At 41.3% G+C, this 23515-nt stretch overlaps 1 long non-coding RNA gene across 1 annotated transcript; it reads left to right on the forward strand.

Annotated features, from left to right (window-relative positions):
• Positions 1–3779: 3779 nt before the first annotated feature.
• BETALINC1 (Beta cell long intergenic noncoding RNA 1) lies at positions 3780–9686 on the forward strand. Its single transcript, XR_007067726.1, has 2 exons — positions 3780–3883; positions 3978–9686. It is a non-coding gene; the product is annotated as a Beta cell long intergenic noncoding RNA 1 (long non-coding RNA).
• The last annotated feature ends 13829 nt before the right edge of the window (positions 9687–23515 follow it).

Genomic DNA, 23515 nt, shown 5'->3' on the forward strand with positions numbered 1-23515 from the left:
AAGAATAGTGAACATTTGGGTATCTTCCACCTGGATTCAACATTTGTTAGTATTTTGCCACATATACTTTATCACTCTATATAAGTGTACTTTCATTTTGCTGAACTATTTGGAATGAAGATTGCAGAAACTTCCCCATGGAATAGTTCAGCAGGCATCTCCTAACAATACAATTCTTCAATATAATCACGACACCATTACCACACCTTAAAAATTAACAATAGTTACATAATACTGTGTGATATTAATTCTTTATTTACATTTCTCACATTTTACCAAAAACAAAATGTATTTTTATAGCCAGTCTATTTTTTCCATATCCAGGACTTATTCAAGGCTCATGTACTGTATTTGGTTTACAAAATATTTTAATGTCCTTATGCTCTTTTGATTTACAACAGTCTTCCTTATCTTACTCCCTCCCTCCTTTCCTTCCTCCCTCCCTGACATTGACTTTTTAGAACCCAAGGCATTTTTAGAACACCCTACATTCTGGATTTGCCAGATTGCTTTCTCCTGGTGTTATCTGCCTTGTTCTTCTACCCCTGCATAACTGGAAACTGGATGCCAGATCTGGAGTCATGATGAGGCATATGCTACACATTTGTGGGAAGAATGCCACAAGGTAGTGTGTCACATTGCATCTCATTAGGAGGCAAATCATGTTCTTCTATTAGACAGGCTAAGTTTGATCACTTGGTTAAGGTGGTGACCACCAAATCATCTCATGTGAATTAGTAAGTGATTGAGAAGTCACTGAGGGATAAGTGACCTTTGGCATTGTTTCAATATTCTTTGTCACTGAGTAAATATCCCCATATTCTCCAACAACTTTTCACCTAGAGGCTTGTAGCATTCATTGTCTGAATTCTCCCGTTTTTTTCTACATGTACTTGGTTTTTCTCCTCCATTTCCATTTCTTTTAATTTTGTTTTCCCTTGTAGTGTTTTCCTTCTCTTCAGTCCATTCTACTGGTGGCAATGAGGGACACTATTTATCTCAGCTGCTGGCATTCAAGACTAAATAAATGATTGACTCAGGCATCCTGTTATTGCTTTCCAGTAAAAAGATGCAGCAGAAGACTAGAGGTTTGCAGTGGAAAATCATGTCACTTTCCAGTAATATTGGTTTAGAGAAGTATTAAATTTGACACGTAAATCTGATCCTTTGGTTTTTGGTTGGAGGGTTTGTATTTGTGATGTATTTATCTTACAGATGCAAAGCCCCTAGATTGGAACAGGACTGAATTGCACTGAGTCCTGTGGTTAGAAGGGCTCCAGGCTCAAGGCAGTCTAGAGGGTGGGGCAGTTGTCTCATCACAGTGGGTTCACCATAGGTTAGCTCCTTCTCTCTTGCACTGCATGGATCACAGTCAGTGCCCCCTCCTTTTTCTTTGTCCTTCCTCCCTTTGGGGGTTATGAGTACCCCACTGAGAAAGGGAATGTCAAGGCAGGGCATATTGCTCTGGCAGGTACAACATGGAGAATAAATAATGAGCCTAGGTTTTTCCTCGAAGGCATCATGCAAATGTAAATATTGGAAGTAAAACACTTAGAAAAAGATGTGCAGAGAGAGTGGATTGGCATTTCATGGAATTATTCTGGATTCATGGTCGCCGACTCTCTGACATGTCTAACATGTTAGGAGTGGGAGAGCGAAGGCAGGAAATTATACTTAGTTATACTTTTCCCATCCTGAACAGCTTTCCATAGGTGATGCACAATGCATCGGCTGAATTACAAGGTTTGCTTTTGAGCCCTCTAGGGTTTTCTTTGAGAAGTTAATATTTACCTGACCCTGGTGAGTTTACACGCTTTGGGTGATCTTTTGGGAAAAAAGGTATCATGGCTGATATCTCAATAAAGTAAAAGATAAGGCCTGGTCAATTACAGCAGCAGGGGAAGAAAAAATTACATTTAGACCCAATCACAAAATTGTCATCTAGATTATGGTTGTCAAATTTTAACTGGTGTTGATGTTCTGTTGTGGATAGAAACAACTCATCATAAATCTCAGCGATTCTTTGACAGTTTTCAATTTCAATGGGAAGCACCATGGAAGTGAACTTGATAAAGGACTTGGCAATGAGGAAAAGTTTCCTTTTTTTTTCCTCTTGTCAATTTAGAGCTCATCTGAGAATTTAGAAATCTTCTTGGGTTTAACATTTAAAATTGTTTGCAGATCAACTTTTTATATTGTAAGGATTTCACTTCAGAGAAAATGGCATGGCCATTCTGCCTGCCACAGAGGGAATGAAATGACTCTAGACTTGTTCTAAAATGATTGAATTGATACATTAACAAGCGAACTGTTTTTACGTAAACGGTGTGTTTACTGGACGTATTTTTTTGCTGGGGGTGCAGTAACAAGTACCACAAACTGGGTGGCTTAAAAAGCAGAATCTTATAATCTCCCATTTCTGGAGGCCAGAAGTCCAAAGTCAAGGGGTTGGCAGCATGGTTCCCTCTGAGGGTAGTGAAGGAAGGGTCTGTTTGGGTCCTCTCTCCTTGCCTTGTAGATGACCATCTTCTCTCTGTATCTCTACCCATCTGTCCATGCTTCTAAAGTTTCTCTTTTTACAAGGATGCCAGTCATATTGGAATTAGGCACCACCCTAATGACTTAAATTTAACTTGATTATGTTTGTAAAGACCCTATATTCAAATTAAGTCATATTCTGAGGTACTGCAGATTAGGACTCCAACATACCTCTTTCTGGACAGGAGGGGGCACAATTTAACCCATGACACTTTGGATGAGTTTAGGGTGGGGATGATGAAGATCACAGAAGGCCCAAAGGCTCCAAGCCATCGTACCCTCGTGATGCCAAAATTTAGTCCAATTCTAGTGCCTGCCTCTGAGTACAAACGCCTTGGGTTTGGGTGTTCAGTGCGGTGGCGGGCCTCTGGGATTTGATGGTATATGACTTTTAAGCAGATGAAAATAATTTGGGATAGCAATCCCATTAGGAAAGTGGGCATATATGTATTAAATAAAAAAGACAAGAAAGTTTCCTGGATCTGTTTTTCCTGCCAGTGAAACAATGATGAACTTGGCCTATTTGAGCTCTGCCTACTATGGCCCTTTCACATCTTTTTTTTTCACCAAACATACTTCCTTTGGATATTACAATATCCAACTGTACGTCTCTGATAGACATCTAATTCTCGCTGAATTAATGGGAGATTTTAGGCTTAATAATAACTTCCAGTGAATATAAAGATGTAATTATAAGGCCTCTGTCTTTATATGACTCAAGACTTTTAGGAGCTCACAGCATACCAAGCATGGCCTCATTACTGTAATCCTCTTAACATCACTTGGACCCCAGTTACAAGTATCACTACCTCCACCTTAGGGGAGGAAAACCCAAGGAACAGGACAGCAAGGTCTATTGTCTGATGCTTCAAAGACGGACAGACAGGGCCCCACTGTTCCTTTATTATATTCTTTATTCTGGAGAGTTCTCCATTGAGCTAGATTGTCTTCCAAAGCTATCCTTGTTCTCCATTTTAGCTTCCCCAGTTGCTGTTTGCGTATGCTAGCTGGTATCTGGGGCAGGAGCAGTTCTGGATGAATTGAGAAGAAAAACGACAAAACTTCTATTATAACGCACTGTTTATTATTGGATCAATATGATCGATGACCACCTGTCAGATCTGTAACATTATCTGGGAACCAGCAGATGGAGCTGTTACAGATAGCATTCAGAGGTTTGTTTATTCTCCTGAGCACGTGTTTCCATCCTGGGGGAAATACCACTTCATTGTTACAACAGTGGAGTTGTCTGTGGCCAGATGTTGAGCACACCTTTTCTCTTGGTCCACGTCTGCAGAACTGGAAGGTCATTTGTATGCAGGGCCAAGGTTTTTACTTGGAAAAGGTAGGATGACAATCTTCTACCTCTCACAGGCCCTTATGGCAGAAACAGATGATTTCTGTGAACAAGGAGAAAATTAGATGTATTGTTTTTCCAGAAACCGCACACTTCGAATCACAGAAGTGTTTACATAGGGCAGGCTGGAGGGGACGAGAGAGACCTTGGTTGATGGTGACTCAGTTCATAAACACAGCATCAATATTGATAGACTCCAAAAGATGCATATGCAGGACATCTCTCGGGATTTGCAGGGACCGACTGTTCAGGTGAACATCCCGTACTGTTCGTTCGAGCAGGACACGGCAGATGCTTCTTTCTTGTTTTATGGAGGGTGGTGGTGGATTACTCTTCCCATCTTGTGCTTTTGAGGATGCTCCAAAAACTTTAAAAATTTATCCATGTTCCCTTTCACACAGTGGGTGTTTCTTTCCTCAGGCAGAAGGAAAACTTACCAATGGTTTTTGAATATGATAGGAAAGACCACCTGCAGGGAGAGAGTGGGACCCCTGCTCTCTGCCTCTGGTGAGGTCAGAAGGAAAGGAAACGTGGGGGCCATACGGAGGTGGAGGTAACAAACTGTTCCGACAGCCAAGGTTGATAAGTGTTCAAAAGTGTGCCCAAGGCCTTTTCCTCTCCTGTGGTTAATACTGAATTGGAAAATAGTGTCTGAAGAATCTCAGATGATGTAAATGTGGGATGAAGAGGTGGGGTGGGAGACCTTGTGTGATGGTTTCTGAATTATGAGTCTTTAAAACCTACCTGCAGCCAGGCGCGGCGGCTCACACCTGTAATCTCAGCACTTTGGGAGGCCAAGGTGGGTGGATCGCCTGAGGTCAGGAGTTCAAGACCAGGCTGGCCAACATGGTGAAACCCCATCTCTACAAAAATACAAAAATTAGCCGGGCATGATGGTGGGTGCCTGTAATCCCAGCTACTCGGGAGGCTGATGTGGGAGAATCGCTTGAATATGGGAGGCGGTGTTTGCAGTAAGGCGGGATTTCACCCTTGCACTCCAGCGCCTTCCAGTCTGGGTGACTGAGTGAGACTCTGTCTGAAAAACAAACAAACAAACAAACAAACAAACAAACACTTGCTATTTTCCCTGAGGGAAGATGGTATGAAGCTCATTAGTATCAACTACTTCCTAAAATGTTTTGAGGTAAAAAAAAAAAAGTTTTCTTTCTTTAACCAAAACTACAAATCATTAGTGAGATTTTGGGTTAAATGTTTATTTTATTCCCTTCTAGCTGACATCATTTTAAGAGTAAAAATTTAAACTACAATAAGAGCTTGAAGAGTGGGATTTTTATGTGTAAAACACTTAAAATTTAATTTAGAGCTAATATAATTGTTTTGTTTTAATCTGCTGTTGGAAGTATTTCTAGAATGTATCTGTCCACAATTCTTCCAATGTGATTAAAGTATTCTAAAGATAATTGAGCATTTTAAGAGGATCTTGTGATTTCTGGAGTTATTGCACAATTTCTGAAGACAAGAAGAGTGTGGGTGATTAGACTGGGTCCTAATGCTAGAGAATGACCTGGATTTTTCCTTTTGGGGTGGGAGAAGTAGATGCTTTATCCCTGGTATGAGCAAGTTTATTCTAATGAGGGACTTTCACCTTTCTCTAACAGGTAGCATGTCAAAAATTGGTTGGGGTTCTGATTAGTTAATTCCTAGTTAATTAAAGCTCTGGTATTTAGAATATAACTTCCCAGAGGGTCTTAGGAGGAAAGTTCATTTTTTCTGTTTAGGTTTCTAAAGATTTGTTTATTTATTATAACTTTTTTTCACAACAAATAGAAATGAAGTGCTTTGCAGGAGAATTCTAATTTGCATAGAACCTTATGTGGATAGCACTGGGTCTATGTGTACACACATGCAATGTACATATATTCATGTACACACACAAACATATACATATAATATTATCATACAGTATGCATTGCTCTGTCTGCCTTTTTTTCACTTATCAATGTATTTTGAAGATCTCTGCAGGTCTCTAATCCTTTTTAATGGCTGCATAATATTCCACAGTATCAATGCATCACAATTTCTTTAACTTACCTCCTAATGGACATTAAGTTGTTTCCAAGTTTAACTCCAATTAATACTGCACCAAAACAATCCTCGAATGTACTAACCTTTGAACCCATAAGAGAGTATTTATTTAGTTTCCTAGAAGAATTTCTGGATTAAGAGGCTGAATTTAACACTTTTCTACATAGTGCCAACCTAAGGCATTAGTCTATGTGTCTACCTGCTGGTCCATAACGTAGTTCCTGGAGAAAGTGGATCTTAAAAGAGATGAATAATTAAATCTGCAAGAGTTTCAAATATCTCTTCATAGCATTCCAAAATATAACTCCCTTCTCTACTTCCCATAACCATGCCAATCAGTCTCCTTACTTGCAGAAGAGGAAGGTAGTTGCTGTCTACTTTCTATACTTCTTGGCACTTGTCCTACAACAACCAGTCGTATCATATTTTTATGCTAGTAACTTTCACTGCCCTTGCAAAGTCATTTCTTTGAGTTGTCCTGAAAAGAACAGGATCTCAAGGTGGGTCGTGGTGGGCAAGGATCCCACCAGGCTTAAACTGAGGTGACAACAGGATTTTCCAGTGGTGGGGATCCTCTGGACCATGGGGAAGGCATGCAAGCGGCACTGGGAATGGACAAGAGCAGGGCTGGAGCACATAAAGTGGACCTGAGACGGTGGCACTGGGCTTTATGTGTGCTATGGGAAACAGAGAAGAACCTAAGGGAGAGGGTGTTTATTTGAAAGCGGTGAGTTTGGAAAATGATATTGAGGAAATAAGCAGGCTGAATAGAAGGCACCCGAAAAAGAATGCCAGGAGAGAAAGTGAGCGACAACACCAGGGGACAAGACAATGGTAATTCCATAATTAGGTATGATCTGAGATCAATATGGTCTGTTTGCTTTGTGTTCACTTGTCCTTCATTCAATTGCTGCTCTTTGGTGTTATTTCTTGCCACGCTTTTCAATACTTTATGTGGCATGTGCAGTGCAGTGTGTGTGTGTGTGTGTGTGTGTGTGTGTGTGTGTGTGTGTACGTGTGCATTTTCCTTGAGGGATATTTTAATGCATGATTTGTGAGTAAGTTTGGATTCTCAAAACGTGGCAATGCCAAAACAGAGAGAAGAAGTTGCTCATTGCCAACTCTGAGGTGCAGTGGCAGTTCTCTTCAACAGGGGCCTGTTTTCCAGAATCCAAAGAAGGGTATAAGTACAGCATCTTGCAAGTCATGCAGCAAAACAGGTAAGAGATGGCCCCTCTTTCCCCTTGTGTTGAAATGTTGGTAATGCTATTTTTTGACATGAACAATATAGATATATTGCGGAGGAGAACACAGAATTTACGTCAATTTTTATGATAAAACATGAGTGGCCAAGGAAATTTCAAACCTGCTGCTGGTTGCTTCAGGCTGTACTACTCAAATAAACCAAAACATTTCTTTTCATATACTTTGAACTCTGATTTCATCGTCTTTTCCATCTGGACTGTTAGGCGGGGACGACCAGACTCTCTTTCTTTAATAGTCTATGTAATCATTGAAGGGCCTATCTTTGTTATTTTAAAATGAGGATCTGTGCATGTTTTATGAAATTCATCCTATCCCACTTCAGTTCATCAGCTGGCCCAGATAGGTTACTTTAAAGAAAACCGGGAGAAGACCAGCCAGCCTGAGAACCTTGGAGAAGTGTTGGCTTTCAAATGGTTTCTGAAGTTAGGCAGATGTTTACTCTCTGTCATGGTTTGAATGCTCGCCCCTCTAAAACTCATGTTGAAATTTAATTGTCAATGTAACGGTATAAGGAAGTGGGGTTTTAAAACATGATTAGGCCATGAGGGCTCCACTCTCTTGGGTGGGCTTACTGCCTTTACAAAGAGGCTTTGGAGAGTAGGCTGTCTCTCTTCTCACCCTCTAGCCTTCCTCCATATTATGACACAGCAAGAAGGTTCTCGCTGGATACCAGCACCTAGATCTTAGATTTTCCAGCCTCCAGAACTGTGAGAAAATGATTTTCTCTTCTTTGTAAATTATCCAGTCTGTGGTATTCTGTTCTAGCAGCACAAAAGGGACTAAGACACGCTCATTCCTGCTTGTTACTACAGCATGGCTCCTACGAAGAGCGCCAAAACCTGCAGGGAAGTTGTGCTTTGGATGAACCTCTTACTTCTTGGGCATGGAAGTCCTTTCACCAAGAACAGAGACAGCCCTTGCCAAATCTAAACTCACCGGGCCTATGTTATTTCAGGTGAAAACACTGTGTTTGTTCCAGGCACAAACACATACAGGTGACTCATCAGGTTCTAAGATGGAACATAATGACACAAGAGTACCAGGCACAAAACCATGCTCTCAAGCCACTCAGAAGGCACTTTAGATGATGAAAACCAAACAGAAGCTGAGTGACCAACCTCCCCACCCCCATCACACTCAGCAGGCTGAGCAGAGTCACAGAACACACACACCTGGGTGGAACAGATGGCACCCCGGTGCTATTGTTATTTTACAGTCTGGCTGAATGGCAAGCTGAACTGTCAAGGACAATATGTAGACTATTGCAGTTAAACAGGGGATTGTGTCTCCCAAGAAAGGATTCCACCATCTCGGTGGAGTTAAGTATAGCTTCTCCACACAGGGGAAGTGAGGACAGCTGAGATTTTCCAGGAGAAGTGATTTAGATTATATAAAGACCCTTAATGAATTATTTCCAGGCATTGTCTGCAGTGTCATATTGCTTGAGCTTTCCGTTAGCAGCTTCCTGGAAAAGAACTTCTGCTTGTCTGGGTCTTGAGTTTCTGTTGCTTACAGCAGCCAGAGTTGCCATCTGTGCACATATAGAGCATATATTTTAAATTTTGACATTTCCAAAATATGACTGTTTTGTAAAATTATTTGGATAAAATATGTCTGATGGGAAAGCACACAGCCTGTGTGTGAGAACTTGGGAAGCAAACTGACGAGAGGCTCCTGGCAGGTTGTATTAATTCTTAACATGCAAAACAGCCACATGTTGGAAGCTAATACTGGAGCAAGGCTGAAATCTATTATTATTTCAGAGTATTAGCATTGTTTGGTGTAGAATAACTTAACCGTAATGACACATTGAGAAATCAATATGACACGAGAGCCAGTGCGCATTTTCTTAAAGATGAACTGGCTGATGGTTTTAGCAATGTTTTAACAGAAGGAATAAGCAAATTTCAAAAGTAAATGAATCCGAAGCTGATAAGCAAGTAATACATTTGTAGTACATGAATGATTTTGTTTGAGTTTGCGATTATCACCATATTGCTCTAGAAATATATAGTACGGCCTTTTACTTTGTGTTCCAATTACTCCACATGTCCTATAGTTGTATGCATTTTATATATTTGTCATTCATAAGCAAGGAACTCAAATTTTCTGTTCTTAAAAAACACTCAATTTAGTATTGTTTGACAGGATGGTATGAAAAGTTGAAGATGGAGAGAAAAAAGGCTGGATTGTAATTTTAGTGACCAAAAGAGAAAATAATATCCTCCTCTAAGATTCCTTACTCTATTTTGTCAAAGTGGAAGTAACTTAACTTTTTGCTGCTAATTATAAGAAAATTAAATTCTTGTTAAAAGTAATTTGAGTAGTACAGAAGTATAAAGTGAAAGGTGAAGGTATCTCTGTAATCCCACCCCACCGAGATTACAACTGTTAACAGTTTGATATGTGTATTTCTTGATTTCTAAATGCATAGGTATAAGCAAATATGTATAAATAAAACAATTGAGGTTATTTGGAATCCACTGCTCCATAAGCTGCTTTTTCATTTGACTGGATCTCTAGGACACCTTTCCATGTCAGTAAATATAGATCTAACATTTAAAAAGATGCTCCATAATTTATTTCACTAGTCTACCGACAGGTATTTAGTTGGTTTCAAATTTTTCACTTTTATAATCAATGTTGCAGGCATTATTTTGTACATATCTTAGAGTATAGTTTTTCAATTATATTCTTAGAATGAATTATCACAAGTACTGTTGCAGCTTTTTTTTCTCCTAAATTTTTAAGCAAAATACCTAAGTTTTAGGGTATAAGCCCCTCTCATTATCTACAAAGTGATTTATTATCCACAGTGAGACTGAATTCCTGGCTGAATTTCTCCTGTTACCAGCAGTCATGGGAGATGGAATTCTAAGGGGGCCCCTGAGGTTCCAGCCCTCTTGTGTACACACCGCTATGAACCCTTCCCTTCTGCAAATATGACAGGATATCACTTTTGTGACTGGGTTACTTACCAGTTAACTTTGAGTTAATCACAGGGGATATTATCTAGGTGGGTCTGACCTGGTCATGGGAGCCATTTTGAAGAGGGTAAAACATCCAGGGTGACCTGGTGCTTGCCAGGAAGGAAGCAAACAGCCACTTTGGGAATTACCTAAGGGCCTAATGGCCGGGAACCAGAGCACCGCTTTGAAGGTGAGATGAGTCCCTGGCCAGAGACCTGTGTCCTACAACCACAGGGAAATGGATTCCATCAACAACTCGTGAGCTTGGGTGAGAACACTGAGCCTCATACGAGGTAACAGCCCCAACCGACATCGTGAAGTCCCTGAGCAGAGCACTCCCATTAACCTGTACCGAGGCTAAGTTTGCCTTGGTTAAGTTCCTAACTTAGTGGTAATTTATCACACAGCAATAGAAAATAAATGTGACAGCAAACACAGGCAGGGTACTTCCAGCATGTTCTGGATTTTCTCCAGCTATCATACCTGGGGAAGTGAACCCTTCCCTAGCACCTATCCTACAGAGAATGTGGTAGCCAGCTCTAGGGGTGAGCCTGAGGCTCCATGGCCATAGCCTTCTTTCTAGACACCATAGTCTTGCCCTCAGGAGGATTTCTCCATATAAGAATCCAACTTTGCCTTCTCAGTTCTTAGAACTTAGGTCAGCTAACTAAAAGGCCTTTCTTAGTGACTTTTGTAACTTTAGCAGTTTTAAATTATTTAATTGACTTTACCTTTTCTCAAGAGATAAATAACTAATTAATACTGGTATGGTCTATTGATTCTTATTTTATTACAAGGATTATGACCTACTACCATCTTATCATTTTGATGCTCAGGTGGTCCTGGGTTTTTCCAGAGGGTGCTCCATTAAGCCAGCCCCAGTGTCCTTCTGGCCCATCTCATTATTTTTTGAGCACTTCTTTATGTGTTCTGGCACAACAATGTATTCTAGGCTTATCTGGTACTTTCCATGGATCCTTTCCTTTCTCTAGACTTATCTGGTACTTTCCATGGATCTCCTCTCCTCTCCTCTCCTCTCCTGTCCTCTCCCCTCCCCTCCCCTCCCCTCCCCTCCCCTCCCTTCCCCTCCCCTCCTCTTTCTCTTTCTTTCTTCTCTTTCTTTCTTTCTCTCTCTCTTTCTTTCTTTCTTTTCTTCCTTTCTCTATCTCTCTTTCTTTTTCTTTTCTCTCTTTCTTTCTTTCTTTCTTTCTTTCTTTCTTTCTCTCTCTCTCTCTCTCTCTCTCTTATTTTGTTTGAGGAAGGGTCTTACTCTGTCACCCAGGCTGGAGTACACTGGTGCAATCATAGCTCACAGCAACCTGGACCTCCTGAGCTTAAGTGACCTCCCACCCCAGCCTCCTGAGTAGCTGGGACCACAGGTACACACCACCATGCCTGGCCAAATTCACTATTTCTAATTCCCTTTTTTAATGGTGGGAAACCTGGCTCTGATTATTTATTCATTTGCTCAATCCCACATAATATAGAAAAAGCTTCAGTGTTGCAAACACATACCGTTGAGATAAACAAACATTCTAATTGAAGTTCAATATCTATTTAGTTCTTTTTGGTTTTAAACTGAGGAGAAATAGAGTACTGCATTCAAAATTACTTGGAATAGGTTTTTTTAATTAATTAAACATTTTTTTCTTTTCTCCAGTATGGATATGTTACTCATCTGAAGTAATATTAGATTCATTTGTTTCTGTTTGGTTTATCCTATTTTAATTTTCTTTTCTTTTTTTTTTGAAACAGAGTCTTGCTCTGTCGCCCAGGCTGGAGTGCAGTGGCGCAATCTCGGCTCACTGCAAGCTCCGCCTCCCAGGTTCACGCCATTCTTCTGCCTCAGCCTCCGGAGTAGCTGGGACTACAGGCACCCGTCACCACGCCCGGCTAATTTTTTGTATTTTTAGTAGAGACGGGGTTTCACCGTGTTAGCCGGGATGGTCTCGATCTCCTGACCTCGTGATCTGCCCGCCTCAGCTTCCCAAAGTGCCGGGATTACAGGCGTGAGCCACCGCGACTGGCTTAATTTTCTTTTTTATCCTTTTTTAATTACCCATTTTATTCTTTTTTTTTTTTCTTAAGAGATGGGGTCTTGCTATGTTGCTCAGGCTGTTCTCAAACTCCTGGCCTCAAGTGATCCTCCCACCTCAACCTCCCAAAGTCTAGAATTACAGGCATGAGCCACGGCACTCAGCCTTTTTTTTTCCTTACTGAGCAGGAAATATCTCAATAAGAGTTTATCTTCAGAAGTCCTTTTTGCCCCAGAAACTGAGTTTTAGATGCAGGGATCCTCTTGATCTTAAATGGCGTCCTCTAGGGAAAATGTGGTGGTTCTCAGCTGCTTCAGCGCAAGCTCTCCAAGCCCGTCTACTCAGCATGAAAATCTAGGAGGGGTGAGCTGAAGAACTGTCCTCATCTCCAGCAAAGTCCTTATAGTGGAAGGACGCATCCTTGAATGGATGACATCTCCTTACCAAACACAGTGCCCCAGTGCATATACATGGATGTAGCATCAAAGTACAGACAGCAAGCAAAAAACACGAAGAGAAATGTGCACAACACAAGTCTGCCAAATCTCTCTCAATCATACAGGTTAAGGGGAACAAAAAAATAAGTATCCTGGATTGGAATATGGATTGAAAAAATATTGCTTTGGAGGAGAATATTGGGAAAACTGGTGAAATGTGAATAAAGATAATATTAAATATATTTGATATTATATAATGGCATTGTATCAGTATTCAATTTCCTGAATTAAATATTTGCTCTTTGGTTTACAGAGATGGTTCTTGTTCTTAGGAGACACATGGTAGAGAATCTGGGGGTGAAGGGTCATTATATCTGCAACTTACTCTCAAATGGTTCACACACACACACAGACATATACACATCCACACACATCTACATATACACATACACACATTCACATACATATATATACACACAATCCACATATCCACACATAGACATCCACACACGTGCACATCCACATACACATATTCACATCCACACACACACACACCTCCACATATACACCTCTACATATACACACATCCACATATACACATATACACATTCACATACATCTACATATATGCATACACACATTCACATACATATACACATACGTGCACACAGCACATATCCACATCCACACGTGTACACATCCACATATTCACATACATACATACACACATCCATCCACACACATCCACATACATGCATTCACATACATATATGTATGCAGGCATCCACATGTGTACATATACACACCCATACATTCACATCCATATACATCCACATATACTCATCTGCATATACACATGTACACAATACACATATCCATACATACACATTCACATACATACATGCGCACATACATGTATACACATACACACCTGTACACACATACAAATGGCAAAGTGTGAGTAGCTGGTGAAGCATATATGGCGGTTCATTGACATTATTCTTATAATTTTCCTGTAGTTTTGAATTTCTTCAAAATAAAAAGTAAAAATATTGATAAGTAATAAGACAGATCAATTTTACATATGACAGACCAGCCACATCATGCATCTATGTTGAAATCTCTACACTTTTATTCAGACACCCATGTCAGAGTCACAAAAAAGGGACCACATTTTAAGCTACAACAAAACTTCCATAAATTTCAGAAAGAAAGTAAACAGTTTCATTATTAAACAAGAAATAATGAAAATAAAGGGTATTCTATTCAAGAAGTTAAGAAAACGATCAACAAAACATCTAAATAAAGCAGAAGGGTGGGATTAAAGTAGATAAAAAATCAGAAATAAGTGTATTTGTAAACAGAAAAACAATCATGCTAAAGAAAAAACCCAAGCACTGGTTCTTTGAAATAATCAGTGATGTAGATAAACTATCAGTGGTTTAATTTAAAAACACATTGTTATGGAGAGTTGTGCAAAACCCACTCATGTAGTTCAATCTATTAATAAAGCAATGAAGAAAAATTATACTGGAATCTCAAGAGTTGCTCAAAGTCACTTAATAAATTGTAATGCTCGATATGCGGGGGGCCCTTCAGGCCTAAGCTTCATTAGCTGTATGCAAAATCCACCGAACTTTGCCTCTGGATCCCAGGGTCCTGCGGGGACAATTCAAGTGTCTGCCTAGCATAGAGTTATGCTTGCCTTAGCCGAGGGATGTGCAGGAGAGAGTGGCTGCGGGAATCTCCACAGGACTCAAGGCAGTGTCCAAGAGAAAATGTCCAGTGCATACCTGCCAGACAGAGGGGAGCAACTCCTAGCTGAGTAAGGATTGCTGAGTGCCTGGCCTCTTCCCCACATGCCAGTCATATTCACCCAGGTGGGTTCTGGGGAGGAAGCTTGGCCCAAAACAATGACCAGGAAATGGAGGAGGAGGTGGGCATAGACAGGTGGAGAGCAGAGGCTACCCACACTTGTGCCTGAAGGGGATATGAAGACGAATATGAGAAAGGTGGGGAGAAGTCTAACTCTTGACTGAGGGAAGCTTTTGATAACTAACTGGACACCCTGATTTATGACACTGAGACTTTGGCTTAAAGTGTTTGTAAGACTTCTGCTTCCCAGGAATGAGCTGAAAAATCAGAGGCTCTGGTGGAGTTTCCATCTGTGGCAAGGAAGGATTCCCCCGCACTGAGTAAAGTGAACAGGGCCAGTGGGAGATAAAAGTTAGGTGTGTTTTGCTGTCATCCTTCTCTCAGTTTATCTCTCTTCTTACATTTTACTATAAATTGCAAGAAGAGACCAAATGATATCTTCAGCTCTTTTCTTGGAAATCTCTTTAGACAAACAGGTTCATCAGAAGCATATTATGCTTTCTATGTAACTGCAGATGACAACTTTGCTAAGCTTTCTGCCACTACATAACAAGGATCCCTTTCCTCTAGCTTCTAAGAACATGCTCCTTACTTCCTTTTGAGCCCTCACTGGCGGCACCCTCAAAGTCCAGATTTCTACTCACCAGTCTTTAGACTTTTTCTATGATGCCACTCAAAATCCTTCCCGCTGCTGTTCACTGCCTAGTTCCAGAGCCACTCTTACATTTTAATTTGTTATGGAAGCACCCCACTTTCAGGTACCAGAATCTATACTAGTTATCCATTGCTTCATAACCAATTATAGTAAACTTAGCAGCCTAAAAGAGCACACATTTATTTCCTCACAGCTTTTTGTCTTTTGTATTGTATTGTATTGTATTTTATGGAGACAGGGTTTCACTTTGTTGCCCAGGCTGGTCTGAATCTCCTGGGCTCAAACAATCCTCCTGCCTCAGCCTCCCAAGTAGCTGGTAGTACAGGCATGTGTCACCACATCCAGCTAATTTTTTTTTGTAAAGATAGGGAGGGTATTTCGTTGTTGCTCAGGCTGGTCTTGAACTTCTGGTCTCAAGCAATCCTCACTCCTCAGCCTCCCAAAGTGCTGGAATTACAGGCGTGAGCCACCATGCCCAGCCTGTTCACAGTTTTTGAAGGTTGGGGATTCAGGCATGGCCTAGCTGGATTATCTGTTCTAGGGTTTCTCACACAGCTGAATCAAAGTGCAGACCGGGGCTGGGGTCTCATCTGAAGGTTCTACCAGGGGAGCTTCCACATCCTGGCACACAGTAGGATTCAGTTCCTTCTGGATTGTTGAATTGATGGCTCCAGCTCCTAGCTGGCTATTGGCTGGAGGCCACTCACAGTTCTCACCATGTGGGCCTCCTCAACATGGCAATTTGCTTCATCAGAACTGACAAGGAAAAGAGTCTACTAGCAAAACGGAGTCACAGCCTTATGTAATCTAATCATGGAAGAAGCGTCTCATCATCTTTGCTATATCCTGTAACTTTACAAGATAAAGTTTTGTAACTGGCCTCTGATGAAGAGTTGAAGATGAATTTTGAAAATAGTCTTACTTCAATTGGAATAAAAATTTAAAGTGAATATTATAAATTTATTGAAATTGTTTAAAGAAGTTCCTAAAAAGGTACCTTTGTCAACAGGTTTCTCTACTGTGAGTGTTATTCAAGCCAAACTAGAAATGGTTTAGCTGTATATTATGCCCTGTGAGCAGAACTGTTGTCAATCCAATCTGGGTTATATATGTTAACAAGCGAGAAGAAGGCTCGTTTGCTGTATTAAAAACTTTACATATTTTTCTTTAGTTCTCTTTTTGGTTATGCATTGCTATAGAACAAACTACCCTCAAGACTTAATGGCTTAAATACAAGAACCATTTTATTATCTTTTTTTTTTTTGATACAGGGTCTCAGTCTGTTACCCTAGCTAGAGTGCAGTGGTGCAATCATGGCTTATGGCTCACTGCAGCCTCAACCTCCTGGGCTCAAGCAATCCTCCGACCTCAGCCTCCTGAGTAACTGGAACTACAAGTACATGCCACCATGCCTGGTTAATTTTTGTATTTTTTGTAGAGACAGGGTCTTGCTATGTTGCCCAGGCTAGTCTTGAATGCCTGGGCTCAAGTGATCCTCCCACCTTGGCCCCGCAAAGTGCTGAGATTACAGGCGTGAGCCACCATGCCTGGCCCATTTTATTATATCTAGTGATTTTTTATGTTAGGATTTCAGACATGGCTCAACAGGCAATTCTGCTTTACCTGGCATTGGCTGGGATCCCTGGGTATTATTCAGCCAGTGGCTACTCTGGTCTGGAGGGTCTAAGACATTTTTGCTCACCTGCCTGGAGCCTTGGAGGGGATGGCTGGAAGACTGGGCTGTACCCCAGATAGAATCAGGGTTTCTCTTTGTGGTCCCTCCAACAAGGTCACTAGATTTTCTACTTGATGTTGTAGGGTTCCAAGAGAAAGGAAGTAGAAATTCCCAGCCTCTTGAGGTTCAGCTCCAGAAAGTGGTAAAGCATGACTTCTCCCACATTTCATTGGTCAATGTGGTCACAGAACCTGTCCAGATTCAACGGGAGGGGACACATCCACCTCCCAGGGGAGGACTGTTAAAGGAGGTATTGCCCAGATTAACTGTCCCACAATTGTAACTGCTGAGCAGCAAAAAGCTTAGAGTGTAATTGCAATTGTATACGATAATTGCCTATACACATCTTCTCAAAGGAGCATGTCCAGTTTTTACAATTGTTTTTTTCCTCATTATGTTAGTTTTGATTATATTTACTGAAATGTATGTTCCCTCTGATTAACCTAAAAATAAAGTTTGGGCTTATATTTTTAAAATTTTATTTTTCTGATAATTTATTTTTGTTGTATTTTACAAAAGTGTGAATCTGAGGATGATAAAAAATTTAGAAAACCCTGGTTCTTACCCTCAGATAGTTTGCATAGTGCTATTATAGAAGATAAGAGAGTTAAATTAGGAAGCAATGTATACATGCTTCCCCCCTTATCATGGGGCTACCCCCCAGCAAACCCATTGTAAAGTTGAAAAGTCTTAAGTCCAATGATCATATATCAGAGACCATCTATACTGGATGGACTATCTGATGGATTGGAACAGGAGGGCAGTGGGGAGGGAGCCAGAACTCAGCCCCTGCTCCTATTCCCAAGCCCAGCTGTCTAGGACCTGGGCGTCCATTCAGAATAGGGATAACTGTTTATTCTCACAGACATGGGATTTGCTCAGCAAACCTGCATGGCTGTTCCCCAGCAGAGTGAGTGCTTTTTCCAAATCTTCCCAGAGAGATGGCTATCCATGGTCAAGCCATGAGCTGTCCAGCCAGAGGGGCAGCCATCTCCAGTTGGCATGGAGGCCCATAGATACTTGTGGCCATGTGAATCAGAGTCCTCATGGTCATCATAAGTGGGACATCAGAGAAAAAGATATTCAGAGTGTGTTAGGCTGTTCTTGCATTGATATATTTTATAATGAGCAATTATAGACTGGGTAACGTATACATAAAAGGTTTAATTGGCCCACAGTTCTGCAGGCTTTACAGGAAGCATGGTGATGGCATCTGCTTGGCTTCTAGGGAGGCCTCAGGAGGCTTACAATCATGGCAGAAGGCAAAGGGGGATAAGGCACTTCACATGGTGAGAGCAGGGGCAAGAGAGAGAGTAGGAGGGAGGTGCCACACACTGCTGAACAACAAGATCTCGGGAGAACTCACTCACTATCGTGAGAACAGCAACAAGGGGATGGTGCTAATCCATCGTCCAATCACCTCCTCCCAGGCCCTGCCTCCAGTACTGGGATTATAATTCAACATGAGATTTTGGCAGGGACAAATATCCAAACCATATCACAGAGTTAAATGTAAAGGCTTGCATTTGGAAAGCCATACCCAACAGCACAAGGTTGGAGGAGAGATGACATGGAAAAGAGGGGCTTTAGTTGACAGTAAGGTCAATATAGGTCAAGATGTCTCCCCCCACCAAATTAACTTAAAAAAAGAGAGAATGTGTTCTTAGATTCCGGTCATGGAAATTCATATCTGGAACAAAGGAAGTGAGAGTTCCACTGTATTCCACCCTGCTGAGAAAATGTATTCATCCACTCATCAATTATGAATGAGCTATCTCCTGGGGTGGATGCTAGGAATACAGAAATGAAGGATACGAGGCTAGCCCCGGGGATGCTGCTCTGTTTCTATTAATCAGAATTTGGTATTCCTTCGTGGGATACCTGCAGAGGGGTTCAGTTCTGATGTTACCCTTTCATGGGGATGTGGAAAATTAGAGTGAATCCCTGAGGACAGAACTGGGATGTGAAGGACTCAGATGATCACATATAGATGATATGTAAAGGAACGGACGATGTTTGATTTAGTGAATAAAAGAGAGGGGACTCTTGTTGCTTTTTTTATGTCCAACACTTATGACCAATCTGAAAGCCACTAGCCATATGGGACTATTTAAAGCTAATTAAAATACAATAAAATAAAAATTCAGTTTCTTAGTTGTAGTAGTCACATTCCCAATGATCAATTGCCGCAGGTGCCTAATACTGGAGGCACAGATGTGGAATATTTCCATCGTCACCGGAAGTTCTATTGGAAAGTGCTGGAAAAGGCTTCCATGTGGGAGATAATTTATTATCTCCATGCTTTATTTAGATGTGAGGGTTGAAATAATGATGATAGATCACTGAAAATTAGAGCAGAATAGATTTTAACTTTGTATTAGGAAAAACTTCTGAGCAGACATAGCTGTCCAGAGACGCCTGCAGGCAGTAAATCCCCTGTTACTCTAAGAATTCAGCTCAGGGTGGCCTGACTGAGATGCTCTGTATGATTGCTGGGGCTGGCCTTTCTCCCCTGGAGTATTCTCCGTGGTGTGGAAGATGTTCTTTATCACATGCCTTTTCTGTTCCAGGGGCTCAGCTCCATGCCTTCCCTGCACAATCACATTTATCGTTTCATTGCAATTCTGCAAGTCAGGTAATATTATCCCCCCTTTTACAGATAAGGAAACTGAGACTCAGCCAGATAAGTTGTTCAGGTTCCGGTAAGTGCAGTGATTCAATGGATCCAGGTTGTCAGATTCCAAAGCTTGTAACTGGGACAACTTAATTCTGATTTTTTAAAATTATGCTCAGTAAATATTAGTTGATTGAACAAATTGCCTCAAGCACATGTTAGTTTCTAAAAAAACAAACAGTTTTTTTGGGTGGCTTATATCTCAATGAAAGTAAAAATAAATTATGTACAGAAGAAAGGATATTAATAATAAAACATTAACATCAGTTAATAGTTCTTGGTAGAATTAAAGGTTTTTTTTTCCTATTTGTCCTTTTTTTTTAAATTGTTGTTTACTCAGCAAAACAAACAAACAACTTAAGAATGGAATATGGGCCCTGAGATAACTTAGTGCCTACACAGAGTATCAGTCAACTGTTGCTGCATAAGAATCCACCCCCAAAACATAGTGACTTAAAACAGCAGAGGTTTATTACTTCTTGTGGTGGTGTGGATTGGCTGGGTGTTTCCTTTGTTGGCTTCTCCAGGGCTTTCCTCTGCGGTTGTATTTAGCTTGAAGCGGGTGGGACTGGAAGGTTTACATGGCCTCACTCAGTGCTGGCACTTGGAACTGTCAGTTGGGGTAGGCTCTCCACGTGGCCCTTGCCCTCCAGGAGATTTCACCCACTTCCTTACAGAGTAGCTTTCAACATCATCAAAGGGTGTTCCAAGGGGCAAAGGTGAAGGTTGTAAGTTCCCTTGCAGCCTAAGCTCTGGACCATGTCACGTTCTGTGGCTCAAAGCCAGCTGACTTGAGGGATGGGGAAATAGAATTAACTTTTTGATGGGGGGAGCTGCAGGACATTACAGCTATGTTTTTAAAAACCTTCCATTTATTGTAAAGCATGCATTTAACCTCACAGAACAGGGCAGAGAATAGTCTAGGGATTGTCTCAAATACCATCTTGAAATGTTGGATTAATTTTTTGGTGGTCTGTGGATAATTTCTTTAGAATGTTCATAGCTGCTATTCATGGTATTCTTACCTCTATATACATCCTATTTTTGGCCTGTGATGGCTACAATATAATCCTGAACATTCAAACACCTAGGCTTTTCCCTTTTGAATGATTACGCTCAAGTAGAAATAATAGATGGAAACCAATAGTTTTTATCCAAGTGAAGGCACTCTAAATGATATTTTCAGGAGGGATTGATGATTGGGAGATAAAAGAAATAAAAACATGATCAAGGAAGCAAACCCAAATGTTTACCAACAGATGAATGGATAAAGAAGTGTGGTATATAGACACGTACAATGAAATATGATTCAGCCTAAAGAAGAAACGAAATTCTGTCGCATGCTGCAACATAGATGAACCTTGAGGACATTATGCTAAGTGAAATACATCAGTTACTAAAAGACAAATACTGTATGACTCTGCTTATACGAGCTACCTAGAATGACGAATTCATAAAAACAGAAGGTAGAATGATGGTTGCCAGGGGCTGGGGAGGGAGAATGGGGAGCTGTTGTTCAGGGGGCACAAAGTTTCAGCTTTGCAAGATGAAAGACCTCTGGAGATCTGCACAATAATGTAGATATACTTAACCCTACAAACCGTACACTTAAAAATGGTTAAAATGGTAAATTTTTATGTTTTTTTTAAGCACAGTTAAAAATTTAAAAATGAAAAAAAACTTGATCAAGGGCAAAAAAAAAAAAAAAAAAAAAAAAGTAGTGCATTCATTCAGAGGTCTTATCCCAGAGTACGGTTCCCAGCCATGGTCTACTTCTGTGCCTTTAGTTCTGGAAGCCTTGCTTCCCAGTGAGAACAGAATCAGGAGACCCTTTGAAAGAAGAAAGTAAGACCGGGAGCAGTGGCTCACGCCTGTAATCTAAGCACTTTGGGAGGCCGAGGTGGGTGGATCATAAGGTCAAGAGATCCAGACCATCCTGGCCAACATGGAGAAACCCTGTCTCTACTAAAAATACAAAAATTAGCTGGGTGTGGTGGCACACACCTACAGTCCCAGCTACTATGGAGGCTGAGGCAGGAGAATCGCTTGAACCCGGGAGGTGGAGGGTGCAGTGAGCCGAGATCACGCCACTGCACTCCAGCCTGGCGACAGAGTGAGACTCCGTCTCAAAAAAAAAAAAAAAAAAAAAAAAAGGAGGAAAGTAAAGGAAAGTAAATAATATCTGGAGAAGATAGGGTTCCTGTCTTAGAAAAGCCCAAATGCAGCCTGTTGGTTGGAGCAGTTGAGTTAGTAAGCCACTCCACAGTGACCAGAAGACCTGCTTTATGCCATTTGTTTTAACTACGTTGCCGCGTAGGCACCCACTCAGCTGAGGGCCTTAAATGCCACCTGCAATAAAATAAAAACCTTACAGTTGCCAACCATTTCATCTGGTTTTGCCCTGAGAATCTGCAAATCCTCTTCCATTGGTCAGAAGTTTCACAGCTGAAGAGATAGGTAATATTCTTGATGAAGTCAGTTCAAGATCAAGACAATGGAAATTTCTTGCAACGACTTTCATCTTCTGTGTCTATTGGTCGCATAACTTAAGCGTGTTGGTATCTCTGTTAGTGGTGAAGTCGGCTGCAAACCACAAAACACCTGACTGCTACGGAAGATATTAACAGGGACTTTTTTCCTTCTGCATAACAGGAAGTCTTGAGTAGGTAGTCGAGGTTGGGTAGAGGACACTTCTGTTTCAATTCTACATCCCTAGGGCTTTGGAATATGAATGATTCATGTTGCCTTGTGGTGGCTAAATGGCTACCGTCCCCTGTCCCTGGAGGCCTCACAATTCTTTTCCAGGTAGGGAGAAGGGGGAGAAGGGTGGAGCACACTAAATGGCAAACAAATGTACCAGCTGAGTCTGTGTGTTCATCTGGAATGCAAAGCTTTTCTGGAAGCCTCTCCCAGCAGACATCTCGCTGGCCCAAACCAGAACCCTACCCTATGACCACTGCTAGCTGCAAAGTGGCTGGGGGACAAGAGGGTATTTTTGGAGTGGGCTTGCTCAGGCAGGTAACAAGGCTACTGAAGTTAGTCATTAAAACCTTCTTTTTTTTTTTTTTAGACAGATTCTCACTTTGTCACCCAGGCTGGAGTGCAGTGGTGTGATCTCTGCTCACTGCAACCTCTACCTGCTGGGTTCAAGCAATTGTCCTGCCTCAGCCTCCCGAGTAGCTGGGATTACAGGCGCCTGCCACCATGCCCGGCTAGTTTTTTTATTTTTAGTAGAGACGGGGTTTCACCATGTCTGCCAGGCTGGTCTTGAACTCCTGACCTCAAGTGATCTACCCTCCTTGGCCTCCCAAAGTGCTGGGATTACAAGTGTGAGCTACCACGCCCCGCCCATCAAAACCTTCTTAAAGGGGCACACATCCATATAATGCCCCCCAACTCCACACACCACTGTCTCTCCAGCAGTCACAAGCTGGAAATGGAGCTCCACCCTTGTGGCAGGGAATGCTTGTGCATAGGCCTCTGAACAGCCAGCCTATGCCTACCATCCACGTCCCAGGTCCTACTTCTAATAACTTCCTTTACAATGATAAATCCCTTAAAGATGGGAAAATTCTCATATCTCAATCTATTTGCAGGTATACCATACCTTGAATTTTGTTTGTGCTTAATATATATTTGCTGATTTTCTGAAGTGATTGAATTCTTTTCCTCTAAAGACAATTCCAGACTGTTCCAGGGGTGAACCTTGGGAATGGAGAATGGGAGCACTTCTTAGCTGGATCTTAGGAACATTGGAGTTTTCTACCAGATAACACTGAATGACATTATCTTTCTGTAAGTTCTCTGTTATGGCTGGTGCTTTAAGCTCATGCCTCTCCCTCCAGCCTCCATCTCTTGCTGGGTCTCTGTTGGCAGGTGTGTACCCAGGTACATCCAGTAGCTGAGTTGGTGACAGAAAGAACTGAA

The sequence above is a fragment of the Homo sapiens genome, chromosome 20 (assembly GCF_000001405.40).
Source record: "Homo sapiens chromosome 20, GRCh38.p14 Primary Assembly".
In the NCBI taxonomy this organism is placed as follows: Eukaryota; Metazoa; Chordata; class Mammalia; order Primates; family Hominidae; genus Homo; species Homo sapiens.